Source organism: Homo sapiens, chromosome 9, assembly GCF_000001405.40.
Source record: "Homo sapiens chromosome 9, GRCh38.p14 Primary Assembly".
NCBI lineage: Eukaryota > Metazoa > Chordata > Mammalia > Primates > Hominidae > Homo > Homo sapiens.
Window position 1 is genome coordinate 16,722,460 of NC_000009.12, and position 17,258 is coordinate 16,739,717.

Sequence of the window (17,258 nt, forward strand, 5' to 3'; positions counted from 1 at the left end):
TAAATATAATTATAAAAAATACCTACAATTATAGATAAGATATCTGCACCTTAGAGGGATTTATTTTTCAACTGCAGTTACTTGGCTCACCTTAGCAAAAGGCTTTACAAATTACACAAACATAATAGACCTGTTTGCAGATGACAGAAAGGTGAGAAAATTAAATAATTTCAAAACGATCACCTACTGTGTTCAAATTCATTTAAATGAATCATGTTGAAAATAAACTCCAAATTTGTGCACAGATTTTTAACATATACAAAATACACACCTGAGAATATGTTTGTGCATGCTTTACTTGCGTTAACGTTTACATGTACATAGAATACCATATATATAAACTGTTACTTTCCCACTGCATTACAAATGAGACGGTATCTCTTATGTGAAGTCTGCATGTTATCCATAGACCTTCAAAGTTTAGGACAAACCAAGCACCTGTCTCTATGCTACAATTTGTATCTTAACAAATACAAATACCCAAATATTCCTACTTTAGTGTTACATTATCAGACAATATACTGAGAATTATATTTGAATATATGTCTATTGTTAAAAATAAAACATATTACCACTCAAATTAAGAGGGGCCTAAATTGGAGGTCGTAGCCTAGTAATTCAACAGGCTAAAACTGCATGCCTCTTAATATAAATATTTATTTTAGCATTAAGACCACAAGTTTAGTCAATTTAATCCTTTTTTAGTAAGACAAGATCATCCAAACATACTAACTGTAAGGAAGGGAGTAAAAAATGGAGAAAACTGCAGAAAGCAAGCTAGGGATGGATGATGCCTGGCAATGAAAGTCGTTTTCAAAGACCATTAACTATCAGCTGCTTTACTCAGGGCTTTGATTAAATAAGAATATACATCCTATGTAAAAAGGGATGTCTATTTGAGTGGGACAGAGTTTAGAATAAAAATGCGTTGTATGAACTATAAAGAAGACCCAAACCACAATGTACAACTAGGCGTCTGACTTGTAATACTATATATATATATGCCTTTTAAATGACTAGTGAATAAATACTCAAAAAAATTGGGGGGGGGGACAAAAACATTTTCATTTAAAAATATAGATTCCAGAAACTGAGATTGTTGGCCTATATGAATAGAAAAAAAAGATTTCTTGAGGAAAATTCATATTGAGCACTGTTTTAAATGGATTCTAGCAATGTTATTATACATTTCTTATATTTTATTTATCATTTCTCTGAAAGGTGCTAGATTTTTATATTAGTAAGAAAGTTTGCTTTTACTCTGTCATATCTCTGGTGAGCAGACGCTCTGGTATTAATGTAAATCGTTGATTTAATTTTTAGCTTTCTTGGTTTGCCCCTCACCTATCTAAAAAATGATTTCTCTGGTGATAACTAACACATCATGCTAATGAGAGAATCTAATGCACAATAGAAAAATGTCACTACTAATAATATTTGCATGAAGTTAAATAAAGCAACTGTAAGAGAATGTCAGACAGTTGTTCTTTAATAAGACACAGTTTCACAATGAAATTATGTTGTTAATTTTGTTACATCATCGGGTGAATCCTAAATTACTACATAATGATGCAGAGAGTCATTTATAATCCTAACTTAGTATTTCACTCAAGTATGAAAAAAGACCTTATTAAGGGATCTACATTTTATTTGAAACAGGTTAAATATACCTCACCAATAATAAAAGGTAAATGTCTCTAGTAACACATTAAATGTGGGCTATAGCTATATACCTTTATGGTTTCCTTTCTAAAAAGATTTTTAAATAGACTGGACTATTACATCCCTTGAGATAGCTACAAGAATTTTATTTACTATTCTCTCAAATGCACAAAATATTTATACAAATAGAAGAATTGCCTCCTCAAGTGTGATTAAAAAAAAAACTTTGAAAAGCAAGCCTCATTTTTTGCTTTTAACAGTACCTTGTGAAACTAAAATAGGCAAAATAAGGTTCTTTCTCCACCTGTCACTGATCAAACTGATCCAAAGAAGAACTCCCTTTACACAAGTGTCATACCCTTTAATGTTCTCAAATACTCAGCTATATACATAGAAATAATTTGAGAAAATCATACTTGAGTATAGAAGAAAAAATGTACAGGCACAGGAAAATGTAGTCAAATAGACTTCACTTGAACTTTAGGGGCACATACTTCATCCCACTAAATCTAAATTGGCTTCAGATTGTGATTATTTGTTACTATTAGACAGAATGAAAGATGTACATTTAAGCAGATCCAACTTTGCTCATATGAAACAAAAGACAAAGATTTTTGTATCCCTACTTCCTAGTTTACTAATAGAACACATAAAACTAGATTATTAAATTTCAGTATTCATGGACATTTCCCACAATTTTCTCTATAGTTAAATACTGATGGTAAATTATCTGTAACTCAGTTTTGAAACCTTTTATAGCAGCCCTACTAGTCAGAGTTTTCAAACGTCTAAATAAATAATCAGGAAAATATTAGTTTTTATACTATTAAAGAAAACTTTAAAAAAAATAACCCAATAAATTTTATTCATTTCATAAGCTAAGTAAATTTTACTTAGAAATAAAATAATCATAATCTAGAGAAACCTCTTTATGCCTCAGCAATGAGATGTACAGAATTCTACATATTTGATTAAACTGGACAAACTTTTACCTGTAACAAAAACTAGCGTAACTGTATATATTGAAAGTAATACTCGTTTAAATGGCTGGCTTCAAGAGATATCAGAGATATAATTTCAATAAGTCTCTCTCTCTCACACACACACACACACACACACACACACACACGTGCTGAATCAGCATTGCTGATGAACTACAGGTAAGAAAAACAAACATATTAAATATGAACAGCACACATACTTTCACTCACATAGTTTGAACTTAAGTTATGTAATATTTATACAAACTAAAATGTCATCTTGAAGAGAAAAAAAATGCAAGCTCATATCCTCTTTTACATGCTTTCCAAAAATGCACAAGAGGTAAACATTCAGTGACCATGACAGAAAAAGGTGGGTTGGGGGGATAGGAGTGATTGCTAACTACATCAAAACCAAAAAAAAAAGAAAACATATTTAAAACTGTGATTTCTCTCCTTTTGTTGTACTACTCTATTTCATAAATAGCATAATATTATACAGTTTTAATAGCATCCATTAAGCATAAATTAGTTCCCTATATTTCTATTCTCTCCATATAATCACTGATGCTCACCATTACACATATATGCACACACAGGTACACACAAAATATCCACACAGTCAGACAGCTGGATCAAAGACATCATAAATTGTCCTAATTCTGACCCATCATTTATATTACTTTATTTGTTTTTTAGTTAAAATGTTTTCCATGACAAAATCTCCTTAGATTCAAATCTACTTGGAAATGGGCTAGTGCCAAATAAGCAATCTAACACCATCTATGTGGTTCAATAGCCATTTATCAATTGATCATTATCTCTATCTGGTTTTATTAACTCTTTTCTAGCTAGAGGGAGACGTAAGCCAATCTTCCCTTCTAACACACACACACACACGCACACACACACACACGACCTCCACTAACTCAAGGAAAACCCTGAAGGTGACATCTAGTTTTAAAAGTGAAGCACAAGTTATTTGGTACTAAGGTTAGCGAAAACACTGCATTCCAACACGCGAGAGCCACCCAGGCAGGGATGCGTCGCGGAAAACACCTCTCACAGCGCTCTGCAGTGACAAGGAGCATCTCTGTGTGGAAATGAACTTTTCACTTGAAAGAATGGGAAATTGCACATGAAGAGTTACTTATTGGGTTGATGTTGATTGCATTTAAATCCCAGCTTACTGTATCAGCAGTAATCAGGGTCCCTCTACAGGATATGTCAAAATATACCTTATTCAAATGCATTTATCCTATTTAGAATTGTGTGCTAAAACTGTTCTCTAGCTAAATGCTACAAAACCCTGGTTGTAGGTATTATCGCTTGCAAATGTATTTCTAAACTTGTAGTAGTTTATAGCCTGGCAAATTGTTTTTTTTTTATTATCAACAACTTTAAATATCTAACTCAAAGTATTTAATTTTCGTGAACTCTTACAAACAAAAGCTTTTTAAAAAAAAAAAAAAAAAAAGCAGTTGCAGTATTTTTTTCCTCTTGAGTGGCACAACATTTCTTAATAACCGCCGTCAACTTAAAATCCAAGTATATTTGTCAATAGTACTTTCGTGCTGTGTGGATGATAATATCAAACTAACTTGCTTTGTGTGTGGATGATAATATCAAACTAACTTGCTTTGTGTGGGTTTGGTGTAGGCTTTGGAAAAGCAAGACGTGTCTAGGAGGGAGGCACCAGGGAACTTCCCTCCCTCACTTGAGCACAATCCAAGATGAAAGTTTCTGGGTTGTGTCCCCTTCGCTTCCTCTCACCCTCGCTCCCCCGCGGAGCCAAGGAGCCAGCAATTGTGCAAGAGGAGACCGGCGCACAGGGCGCGTATCACGGAGCGCATGGTACGAGCCGCCGGCTCCGGTGATTAATTATCAGTAACCGATGGCCTCGCGCTACCACGTCGGCTTTCCCAGCAGAGCCAGCAAGCCGAACGCCTCCAGCGCGGCCGGGACGGAGGAGCGGCTCTGGGGAAGACGCCGAGGCTGCGCCCGAGTGAGTGCGCCGGCGGGCCGGCGGGCGGGCGGGAGAGCGGGCCGGAGCCGGCGAAGGGAATGCAGGGGCGGGCGCAGAGGGCTGGCTGGCAAGGAGGAGCGGAGCGGAGGAGCGAGGACCGAGCAGCACAGCCCGCCACGCACGCCGACTCCTCCAGCAACCCTCGGCGCTGGCAGCCAAGCCTGCACAGCCTCGTCTCTCTTCTCAGGTCTGAACGAAGCTGCCTCCAGCCACATGAAGTCAGTAGGGCTGTTCTGAGGGGCCCCGAGATTTGATGACTGTTTTTTAGGTTGCGGAACCTACTCCGAGAGAGCAAACACTTTGGACGAAGTGATTCATATTGATAGATACATTTGTTGGGAGGTGGCTTTTTTCATTCTCAACAGAAAACAAAGAAATAAATTAAGTCTTCCCCTGACCCAGATTGTACTGTGAAACTTTTCAACAATGTCTCTGCTTTCTTTTACTTCGGTATCCTTTCCCCTTTTTCTTTTAAGACGCCCTTAGGGAAACCATGAAGTAACCCTGCACATTCCAGTAACACAGTTATGACAAAACAAGAGCCTAACTAGGAAGTGACCACATTTTAAAAAGTATTTAGAAAGAAAAACACCAGAAACAAAAGTGCCCATAACAATTCAAGGTTTCTTAAAAAAAAGAAAAAAAAAATCAAGAAAGAAAGTAACTTACCTGTTGGGACATTCTGAATAAGAGGTTAGTATCAGCGTTTTGCCATGTCCCCATGAACCCTGGTTCAGCCGTAGTCGTTCTGGTTCCGAACTGCATGGAGTTGTCAGTACAGGAGTCTCTTAAAGTCAAGTCTCTTGCCCTCTTTGGCTCTCTGTCTCTCTGTGTCTCTCTTTCTCTCACATCCACTTCTGCCTCTTCTGACTGAAAAGTGAAGGTGGATTTTTTGAGCCTCTTGGCAGCCAGTAGCAGGAGTGTAGTGTAGTTAAGAAGCTGGCTGAACTGTGCATTTCATTTGGGAAGGGGGAGATTTGGGGGAGGGAGGGGGTCAGAGCTTCTTTCGCACCTTCTGCACAGATATCCCTATCATTTATGCATAGATTGTGACTCCCCAAGCTTGCCTTTGCTCAGTTTAACAGCTGCCTGTCAGGTGTGCAGGCGGCACTGGAGACCCAACCATCAGCTTCAAACTCTCAGCCACTGCATGTCATTGGATAGCAGAGCTAAGAGTCAACTGCACTGTTCCACTGTCAGGCACCAAATGACACCCTGCACTAACCCCTCTCCAGATATACAGATAGATACACACTTATGCACACTCCAGGCAGCACCACAATCACGGTGCACAGGGCAAGGGGAAGCTAGGGCCCTTCCCCGGGAATTTTTCTCAACAATGCTTTCTGATATAACACATAATATCTGACACCAGTCTTTGGCTTTAACATTTGTAAAACTGTGATACTTAAATTTTTTTTTAATTACACTGAAGAAAGTAAAATATTCAGCTGTAAGAGAATGTAAAGTTGGCTCAGTTATGGTCTAAATGTTAGCTCCTGAAAGTCATCTCGTATGTGCTGGGCTATTTATAACCACATAGAAACTCCTAAATAACGTACATAGAGATGTGACCTTATACTCTAAAGAGTAAGCAAATAAGCCTAGCAGTTTTTATAACATAGAAGATGCACAATAAACATTTGCCAAATATAAATATATACTATTTAATATCTAGTACCTCAGGCTATTAATTACTAAACTGGATGTTAGCTAATGAGAAACTGAATGGCAAAGGAAAAAAGTATACCTTTTCTTAAAGCTCAGAAGTAGAAAAAAATCCTTTGTTAAAGTTCCTAGATGAAGCATCTGCAATATCCTTTCAAATCGTTAAGAAAAGAAAAAGATAAACAAAAAAAGCCTGTCCCATTTCAGGCAAAAAGTAATGAATATAAAAACTCCATTTTTTATTCAAGATCTCTGTGGAAAATTCTATAACGTTTTCCTGCCTGATGAAATACACCCTTGATAACATGTCGTATTTTTAATTAAACAAGTCTTAAAACTATTCACCTATTTATTAGATAGTATTTGTCTGCCTTATTTATGGAAAAGCAGCACTGAACAAAATGCACTGTACATAAACAGTAAGTTCAAAATGGAAAGCTAAATTCATGCCATCTCATAAAAGTAGTCAGCAGGAAAAAGCCATCCTTCCTAAACTTAACATGTAAGGAACATTAATCTTCAACCACCTACAAATATCGAGGACAAATGTACCACTCTCCTTGTTCCTTCTTAACTCAAGAATAACAATAAACCTTACTCTCTGAAACAACAAAAGAAACAGAAAAGAGCTTCAATGGCAGCTCTGTGTCATTAGTGGACAATGAGAAAAGATGAGAAAACGTACACTATGTTGACACAAATGTGCCTTCCCCTCTAGAACCGACATCTCCTGAAAGCTTTTCTGTTAAACTTCCCTCCAGTTCCCCACCATTAAGCACAAAAAAGTCTCAAAAGAAGCAAATTCAATATCTGAGAGGAAACAAACAAGAACCCAAAGAATTGTTGCCTTAAAATATATTAAGTCCACCTGTGGTCAATAAAAATATTCTTGCTGGGGGGGAGGGCAGGAAAATCCCCTACGAGTCAATTGTCAACAGTGACTGTACCTTTAGTGCTAGCTATTACCCACTTAAACTCCCTCTAAAATTTGCTAGCCTCTTGATTTCTGAAGTGGCACTCAGTGCCTCAGTCAAGCTGCCTGCTCAGCTCCTGACCTTCCCACTAATGGCTGTTATTTGTGGGAGGCTTAAGGACACTGTCAATAGCAAGCTTCCTCCTCCTTCCACTCAGGCTCTGTTGTATCGCTTTGCCTGTGTGTTTTTGCCTGTGTTCTCTCTCGCCTCTCACTCGCCCTCTCCTTGTCTCTTTCTCCCCCTCCTTCACTCCCTCTTCCTCTTTTTCTAGCCCCCACCCCGTTTTTTCTCAGTCCTGCAGTCCTCTTCTTTCCCAGGTATCCTACCCAACACCCCACACACACACTAACAACACAAAAATCAACTGGCATGCAGCAGCAAGCACCTGCAGTAATAGACTCTTTTATTAAAACTGTTATTCTGCAAGACTTGAAATTCCCCGTGGACCGGGCCATGTCAAAGCCGATATAATTAACTAGAGGCTCAGCAACGGATCAATTACCAGACAAGCAAGTGATAGTGAAATCAATGAAAGATCATCAGCCACATTATCAGTGTTGCAACTCATTAGGGCAAAACTGAGAAATGTGCTCAAAGCAAGCCCAAGCAAGGTGGCATTACAAAACAAAGGGCTAATTTGGAGACCCTGCTGTGAACAATCTGTAACAGAATTAGCCTTTTTTCCCCCTAAACTGCACAGCTCCGTAACTAAATGTGACAGACTGAGAGAAGCAGTTTATTAAGACACCAACCCCAAGTTTATTTAGTTCATAAACTCTCTCCTAGAAAATCAATACAGTCTGTACAGGGTTATTAGGCTGACTAGCTAATACATCCAAATCTAGTCTGCCCAGCCAGCAGTCTTCTGACAAAATGCTACCCAGTATAGGCAAACTGAGCTCCTTCAGATATCATGGACTGAGGTGGCCCTGGCTGAAACACGTCTGCAATATAACATGTTACTGCCACAACACGAGCCTTAAAAGCAGCAGGATATCTTTCTAAGTTTTAAAAAATATTTTTTCATAAATATACAGTACTGCACCTGCTAAATGGATTTGCTCAAACAAAATCTTAACTACTTTGTAACACAAATTTACAAAGAGGACAAGCTCTGTTACAAAAAGAGACAACAATTAATCCAGACTCAATAATAAATAAGATTTTAAGTTTCTCTAACACTCATTTTAAAATAAATATTTGAAAAGAACATTTAATCCCTCTATAAATCCCCAAGATACATGATCTGAACTTCCACATATAACATACTGTGTAGAACATTTGACATTAGGATAATTTCTATCTAGCAAGTGGGACATCTGTATCGTTTTACAGACACAGGTACAAAAAAATACACCTACAAGGCACAAATATGTCTTCTGAGTTTTTTTCACTGGCTACATAGTCTGACAATTATGGAATAACTCTCTGGAATCATTTATATGAAAATTATTTAAAACTAGAAGGAAGAAGACAAGTATCACTTCCACAATAATTGCTTTTTGCTGCTGATTCTGAGTATTTCAGGTTAAAGAATCAGAAGTACTTAAAGGCCATCTGTTGGCTTTCCCACATTTACTGATAGTGAGAGATGGACCATGGAAATTATGAAGTCCACCAAACTAGGTTTCACTGCATCCAAGTTAAAGACATTGTGTGAATGTGAATACTTCCCCCACACCACACCACATAAGTAGAAATATACTTACACAAAGTAAGAAACTCAAAAGCATTTTACAATGGTAAAATAGATTGGAGAACTGAAGGGGAAAAAAAGGCAATGGCTCTGAAAGTGACTTCTGATGTTGATGATGTTTTAACGTTTAAAATCTTCCAAGAAAAGGAATGCACTATAACATGCCTTTCATATACTGGCTCTAATACACTAAATCCTGAACTTAAAAAGAAATCTTTATTTTCACATAACTATAGTAAAATTCAATTTATAGACTGCTGTAATTAAACATTTTCCCTGTAACTTTCGAGCTGACACCTTATTAAGCATTTCATAGCTCATGTTTTTGAGTAATCTGTAAAAAAGTCAGACATATATATTCTAAACCTGTGCTATAGGTACCATGTTTTGGATAGTAATTAAAAGTTGTAATTGCAGGAAAATTTTACTTTTTAAAACCTTTTTGCATATAACTACACACTGTGCATGTACCCTCAATGAGATCCAATTAGTTACAAAAAATTTGCATTTCAGTTAGTGTGGGATAACAAGACTATAGGGAGGCACAATGCAATTCCACCAGCAGAGTAAAAAAGTGTGTTCTTTCTTGTTAGCTCTGTAAGCAATAATTCCCACAACCGTTTAAAATGTTACTGATCTTTTCAGTACTTGAGTATTACGGTGGGTTTTGGGTTTTTCCCTCCATTTCCTGCAAAAAAAAAAGAAAAAGAAACAAAAAAGAAAAAACCTATGTTGGTGTAAAAAATCAGCCACAATGAATACATGAAAACGCAAGTGAGCAAAGAATTTTGTTTTGCATGTATGTTTGTAGGGTGTTTTCTTTGAGGGGAAGGGGATATAACCTATGTTTTCTTCTTTCTACTTAATTTCTTTAAAAGCACATTGCTTTCATAAAATAAGTTATGTAACTGCAGGCAAAAAAACCTCATTGAGTTCTATGTAAATATATATGATTTTATGATGAAAGCATACATTTACTGCACTGAGAAAGTACTCTAGGATTTTTATTTTTTCTGTCTCCAACAATGTAAATCCTGCACAAATATAAAATAAATGTGTAGTTTTTGTATACAATTTAACAAGCATCTCTAGAACTTCTGCTGGTTCACAGAACAATACCTGTAATTCCCTGGGTTGAGTTCAGCAACTGTTAACAGATTCTATAATCTGTAATGTGCTCTGCCTTTGCTCTTCTTTTATTCACTATTCATTTTCAAGGCTTGGTTAAGTACAGAGCTGGGTTAAAGATCAGTGGTTTTTCATGTGACACACGCTGGTATTCATCTAATGGCTTGTCAAGACAAAACTGTCCCTGTTCTTGCCAAAATAATAAAAATGACGCTCCACATCGCATGACAATCAGCACTTCCTTATGGCGAAACAACTCAAGCTTTTGTAATTCATTTATTTTATAGAAAAAAATGTTAAAAACTGGCTATCCAATCTTATATGTGGACTCAGGTTGCCATTCTCGAAGTAGAGTTTTAAAATGTTTTGCCCTCTCTTAATTCTACAGCAACATGTAAACTAGTTTCTAATCAAACCAGACTTTACCATGTAAAAATAATGCTGAAGATACAAATTCATATGGCATTAAGGTATATAACTTAATATATGCAAATTATGCAGCAGGCTGGACTCAGTCACAGAAGTGGGGGAACCAACTAAGGAAATGTCATTTTTCTTGAGAACAAAGTATGGGACTTGCTCTCCAACATCTGTTGGGCTGTGTGAAATGTTAACAGATGTCTTAAGTGAAAAAAGAAGTAATAAAGGAAACCTCTTCTGAAAAGATAATCCACCCAAATTTCCATATTCCTGAGGAAAGAAGTTGACAGCAAGCTTTTTCCCTTGTGAAACCTGCCATCCTTACTTTATTGTGTAAAGTTTCATTTTCTATGTGAAGTTAAGGGGAAAAAATTTTTGACTCACTGTAAAGAAATGAATAGAAAAGAAGTAAAACAATAATTTCAATTCAGGTTTTCCCTTTGTAAAAAATTATATCATAATTTAAGCTGCCTGTTTTCCCTGGACTCACATATGTAAATAGATGGAAAGACAGTAAAAAGTTCACCTCCTCCCGCCCAAAAAAAAAAGAAAACTACACACACAAAGATGAAATATTACTCTACTATGCTTACATTAACTCTGTTGGCATGGAGCGGGGAGAAAGAGGAAGAGTAAAGAGTAGCTTGTAAGATAAAGTTCTGATATGAAGCCATCTCTACTCATAAAGGTACTCATCTTCACAATTAAGATTCACCTATCATTAGCCAGGCATGGTGGCAGGCACTGGTAATCCCAGCTACTCAGGAGGCTGAGGCAAAAGAATCGCTTGAACTTGGGAGGTGGAAGTTGCAGTGAGCCGAGATCACGCCACTGCACTCCAGCCTGGGCAAAAAGAGGGAAACTCCATCTGAAAAAAAAAAAAAGATTCACCTATGATTTACACCTAAGTCCCTGCACTCTCCCACTGGCTCCTAATTTCCTTTCATTACATCCTTATGAGAGATGAAACACTCCTCTTACAACAGCCAAGTGTTCCACAGCAGTAAAGTCTGATATTCCTGAAAAATTTTGGAGAATACTAGTTGGATCCCTGTATTTAAACTTTAAGGAACCTGGACAGCTACTTTCCTAGTTAACAATTCTCTTTTGGGTTTCAATTTATAGATGATCTAGCCAAGCCTAAATGTAGCAGCCTTTAATTCCGATTAACATGTTGATGCATGCACGCCAACTACTGGATCTAACCTAGTGCCTATCTGTGAATGAATGAACTATACACCTATCTGCTTCTGTACGTCTTCCTCTTTGGAAACGCCTATATTCTATTGCTTATTCTCTTAAAAACCTGGGACATGAATTTGGGTTAACAGCTTATAGATGAACAAATTCAAAGTGCTCTTAAGGGTCTTTACAGATTCAAATAGGAAGGAAAAAGCTTGTGTCATCTCTGATTGCCAGCCTCAATCACTGGCCCCTCTCATTATAAGAGTCCATTAGAATTATACATGTCACTTCATATTTACAACTCTACCTTCTCCAGATGGTTCTGGCCACCTTGACTGGGCATTTCAACATACAGAAGGCTTCATCAAAACAGCCTGAAGATTTCAAGGGGCAAGATCATGGTCCAAGTTGGAAATAAGACATAAAGGCATGCCTTCAGTTTTCAGTTAGTTTGGTTTTTGCCAAAGTATTGTGAGTACTATATGGTCCAGTGTTTACACATAAGAACATGATATCCAAGCCCGTGACAAAAGAAAAAATAATAACCACTCACCTACAGGGAGGGAGAAAGCTTGTGTGCTGAAGACTTCATTACATGCCCTTAGACCAATAGAGGAAAATAGGCCTTCTAACTTAAGGTTGGAGGAGGACACAGGGTCAAATCACTTTAAACAGTGGCACAAACATCCTCCATAACTAAATATTATCTAAAAGCTTCACCCTTCTCAGCAAAAGGGAGAAACTGCTCTAGCTGACACGTGTGTCTGTACCAACTAAAACAATCAATGTAATACAGTATCTGCTGACAGCCTAATCAGGGGCTCAGTTTCATAGAAACACATCAAGGAAATATCCAAAAGCCATAATCCCTTGATGCACTACAAAAATTTTAAAATAAAAGGATTTGAGTAGGGTATGGTAGATGAGGTAGTTTACAAAATGTTAGGGAAATGATGAATCCTTAGACTCAAGATATTTGCAGATAATAAAAGCAGCTGAGGTCAGCATGAATCTTGTGCCTACAAAAGGTCAAACATTTTACCTACCTTGTTTTGGTTTAAAAAAAGAAAAGTGACTTTATTAATCTTCTCTCAAGTCCAAACAGTAACAGTGGCTTCTTTATACCAAACCTATATTCAATGTTTTATGAGAAAATCTAGAAGGAAAGAACCAGTGATGGCTTTACTTAAATGAATTTAAAAAAAAAAAAAAAAAAAAACAGGCTGGGGGCGCACACAACGGGAAATTAACATGAACATGAAAGTTGCAAGAATTATAAAGGTAATGTTAATTTCTTTGTTTTTTGTTTTTGTTTTGAGACAGGATCTCACTCTGTCTTCTAGGCTGGAGTGCAGTGCCGTGATCTCGGGTTACTGCAAGCTCCACCTCCTGGGTTCAAGCAATTCTCCTGCCTCAGCCTACCGAGTAGCTGGGATTACAGGCGTGTGCCATCACCCCCGGCTAATTTTTGTATTTTTTGGTAGAGAGGGGGTTTCACCAAACCCTGACCAGGCCAGGCTGGTCTTGAACTCCTGGCCTCAATTGATCTGCCCGCCTTGCCTCCCAAAGTGCTGGGATTACAGGGGTGAGCCACCATGCCCAGCCAAGATAATGTTAATTTCTTTATTTACTTCCTTCTAAAGTCTGTGGACCAAGAAGCTTGCAGCCTCAGTAAAGGTGTCATAATAATGGTTTAAATTACTGTCAGAAAAGAAGATTGAGATTCACCAACATCCAAGAAAATCATGTTGCAGGCCAGGTGCGGTGGCTCACACCTGTAATCCCAGCACTTTGGGAGGCCAAGGCGGGTGGATCACTTGAGGACAGGAGTTTAAGACCAGTATGGCCAACATGGCAAAATCCCATCTCTACTAAAAATACAAAACTTAGCCGGGCATGGTGGCGCATGCCTGTAATCCCAGCTACTCGGGAAGCTGAGGCAGGAGAATCACTTGAACCTGGGAGGCAGAGGTTGCAGTGACCCAAGATCGCGCCACTGCACTCCACTCTGTTTCCAAAAAAAAAAAAAGGAAAGAAAGAAAAAAGAAAACCATATTGCAAGGCAGAGTTCAGTACCTTACAAAATTATTGAGAAACTCAACACTGCCTTTAGAATTATCACAGGAAAAAGCAACACTAAAAATGATACTCCTTCATATGCAATTTACAAACCTAACAAATAAACTTAAAAAATAAAATCCCAGTATACTTAAAGTTTCAAAAATTTTTATAGAAACAGAGACTATTTATTATTATTATTGTTTATTATTATGATTATTTCTTTTTTTTTTTTTTGAGACAGAGTCTTGCTCTGTCACCCAGGCTGGAGTGCAGTGGTGCAATCTTGGCTCACTGCAATCTCCGCCTCCCAGGTTCAAGCGATTCTTCTACCTCAGCCTCCTCAGTAGCTGAGATTACAGGTGCACACCACCATGCCTGGGTAATTTTTTTATTTTTAGTAGAGACGGGGTTTCAACATGTTGGTCAGGCTGGTCTCGAACTCCTGACCTTGTGATCCGCCTCTCTCGGCCTCCCAAAGTGCTGGGATTACAGGTATGAGCCACTGGGCCCGACCTATTGTTTTTTTTTTCTTTCTGAGATGGATAATGGATACACTTTTGGCCTGCCTAGCTCTTTCACTCTTGTTGTGCAGGCTGGAGTGCAACGGCACCATCTCGGCTCACCGCAATCTCCGCCTCCCAGATTCAAGCAATTCTACTGCCCCAGCCTCCCGAGTAGCTGGGATTACAGGCATGCACCTCCATGCCCGGCTAATTTTGTATTTTTAGTAGAGACAGGGTTTCTCCATGTTGGTCAGACTGGTCTCGAACTCCCAACCTCAGGAGATCCACCTGCCTCAGCCTCCCAAAGTGCTGGGATTACAGGCGAGAGCCACCATGCCCAGCTCGGCCTATTATTTTTTAAGAGCTAGGATCTTGCTCTATCGCCCAGGCTAGAGTGCAGTGCACAATCATAGCTCACTGGAACCTCAAACTCCTGGCCTCAAGCAACCCTCCCACCTCAGCCACCACACCTGGCCTTTTTTTTTTTTTTTTTTTTTTTTCTTTTTTTGAGACAGTCTCGCTCTGTTGCCCAGGCTGGAGTGCAGTGGCGCAATCTTGGCTTACTGCAAGCTCCGCCTCCCAAGCTCACACCATTCTCCTGCCTCAGCCTCCCGAGTAGCTGGGACTACAGGCGCCCGCCACCACGCCCGGCTAATTTTTTGTATTTTTAGTAGAGACGAGGTTTCACCATGTTAGCCAGAATGATCTCGATTTCCTGACCTCGTGATCCACCCACCTCAGCCTCCCAAAGTGCTGGGATTACAGGCGTGAGCCACCGTGCCTGGCTTTTTTTTTTTTTTAAAGATGGGGTCTCGCTATGTTGCCCAGGCAAGTCTGGGAACTCCTACTCTCAAGCAATCTACTGGCCTTGATAGAGACTATTTATATACATACATATTTAAATCGAAAAATGTTGAAACAGAGCAAATGTTCATGAACTTAGAGATTGTTTTCCAAATGAAGAAACCCAAAAGATGCCAGAAACCTATTAATGGCAAGTTAAAAATACGAAGACTTAACAGGTCCCTTAGAAGATCTGCATAGTGATTGGCTTTGATGGAGAATAGTGGCTGGGCTAAGGGACACTTTTGGGGTTCAGGTAGTGTTATGTATCTCCATCTAGTTGGTGGTCCTGGGTATATTCAGTGTGTAAAATTTATCAGGCTATACACTTTTATTTGTGCACTTTTCTGTAAGTATGTTAAACTTCAGTTTTAAAAGTTTACTACTAACACTATTAATATAGTATTATTATTAAAAATAGTGATAACAATAAACTAGCCCTAGAACAATAGGAAAGAAAGAATAGAAAAAGGAAAAGAGAAGTAAGTGCAGGGAGAGAAACAATAGAAGGCAGATACTTTATCACGTTCAAAATCATTCAAATAACCATCATTAAATCTACTTTCAATTATTTCTTCAGAGGCAAGAAGTGTTAGGAAGCAAATAAATACCTGAGTTTCATAGAATGAGGATAAGTATGAAAGACAGTAAAAGAGTGGCAGAAAGAAGAGGTGAGAGATATATCTTAACTAGGTAATCAAAGAATGCAAGTGTGTCCAAGTAACTTAAAGGGGGAAAAAAAAAACCAACATACCTCAATTTGAGATGTATCAACCCCACAACATGGGACCTTGAAATATGCTGGCCAGTCTTGCTCACTAAGCCTGTCCTCTGATTTGTAATTAAGGCTATGTGGAGGTGGGGTGGGCCCAAGGTGTGCCTATTGAGAGATTGGGAAAGGAAATTACATATGCCCAGACAGTATTACTTAAAAGCATTGAGTACATCAAAACTTTAAGAAATTGCAAATATAACACACCAATGACCAACTAAACACATTTTTTAAGAGTTAATAGTTTCTAAGGCTGATAGTAGCCAACAGCTAAATAAACTTTGGTGAGAACTAAAGTAACAAAGTGGGAATAACTGAATAATTTGCTGATTGATAATGGATACACTTTTGCCCTGCCTAGCTCAATTTCTTACTCCCTTTTCTTCCACTTAATATGACACTTTTAACTGCTGTTAGGGAATACTAATCACCCCCACCCCCATCCTCCCGCCCCAGCCCCCCGCCCCGCTCCCTTGCCAAGTATAAGAAGCTGTGGAGAACACAAAAGTTAAGACATACTCCTTGCTCACAAGTTTACAATCTAGTACAGGAGATAAGCTATGAACAAAACAACCTTAACAAAAACAGAATAGGAAAAGAAACAAGAGCAGAATTCCATACAACTTAGAGATCCCTTCCAGCCAGTATGGTTTAGAAAAAAAAAAAAGCTTCTACACCGAGGCACTCTCACACTGAGCGTAGATTATATTCCTAGAGAAGTAATACAGTTTGACTGGAACATAAGGGAAGATGTACATAGAAGAACCATCAATGAAATGGATGCAGTGGTTGATAGGAACTATTATAAAAGTAAGGGCCCTATACTCCACTACAAAGAGTTGCTATTTAGCCTGTTATCTACCAACAGTCCAAACTACCAAAAGCTTCTCAACAGCAGTAACGTCTGATCATTATTTTGCTCCAAGAAGATTTATCTGGCAACAGTATGACAGATGGACTGAAGTGTGAAAAGACAAAAGCAGGGTCCAATTAGGAAGACATTAAAATAGGCCGGGCATGGTGGCTCACGCCTCTAATCCCAAAACTGTGGAAAGCCGAGGCGGGCAGATAACCTAAAGTCAGGAGTTCGAGACCATCCTGGCCAAAATGGTGAAACCCCGTCTCTACTAAAAATACAAAAGAAGTTAGCCAGGTGTAGTGGTGCATGCCTGTAGTCCCAGCTACTTGGGAAGCTGAGGCAGAGGAATCACTTGAACCCAAGAGGCAGAGGTTGCAGTGAGCGGAGATTGTGCCATTGCACTCCACCCTGGGCAACAAGAGCAAAACTCCATCTCAATCAATCAGTCAATAATCTGGGTAAATTACTGGCAATACGGCTG

General features: G+C 38.5%; 1 protein-coding gene and 1 long non-coding RNA gene across 29 annotated transcripts in view, besides 2 other annotated features; one reads left to right on the forward strand and one right to left on the reverse strand.

The window, feature by feature from the left end:
• Window positions 1–17,258, reverse strand: part of BNC2 (basonuclin zinc finger protein 2) — a 461,168-nt gene that overhangs the window by 312,957 nt on the left and 130,953 nt on the right. For 17 of the 28 annotated variants that reach the window (NM_017637.6, XM_047423512.1, XM_047423488.1 and 14 more), the window contains 2 exons: window positions 15,901–16,026; window positions 5,338–5,538 (listed from right to left, as the gene is read on the reverse strand). The exons of 4 other annotated variants lie outside the window; for them this stretch is intronic. In NM_017637.6, the coding sequence (NP_060107.3) occupies window positions 5,338–5,538; window positions 15,901–16,026 (327 nt within the window). The remainder of the gene's footprint in view (window positions 1–5,337; window positions 5,539–15,900; window positions 16,027–17,258) is intronic. 7 more of the 28 variants (XM_047423494.1, NM_001317939.2, XM_047423514.1 and 4 more) reach the window with 1 other exon arrangement.
• Window positions 3,938–4,439: an enhancer, noted in NCBI's record as "H3K27ac hESC enhancer chr9:16726395-16726896 (GRCh37/hg19 assembly coordinates)". NCBI's record gives its function as "activates a minimal SCP1, AML or CMV promoter by ChIP-STARR-seq in primed H9 embryonic stem cells {active_cell/tissue: H9 hESC(primed)}" and the evidence as "EXISTENCE:reporter gene assay evidence [ECO:0000049][PMID:30033119]".
• On the forward strand, window positions 4,355–5,065 carry BNC2-AS1 (BNC2 antisense RNA 1). Its single transcript, NR_151723.1, has 3 exons — window positions 4,355–4,496; window positions 4,572–4,647; window positions 4,856–5,065. It is a non-coding gene; the product is annotated as a BNC2 antisense RNA 1 (long non-coding RNA).
• Window positions 7,690–8,237: an enhancer, noted in NCBI's record as "OCT4-NANOG hESC enhancer chr9:16730147-16730694 (GRCh37/hg19 assembly coordinates)". NCBI's record gives its function as "activates a minimal SCP1, AML or CMV promoter by ChIP-STARR-seq in naive H9 embryonic stem cells {active_cell/tissue: H9 hESC(naive)}" and the evidence as "EXISTENCE:reporter gene assay evidence [ECO:0000049][PMID:30033119]".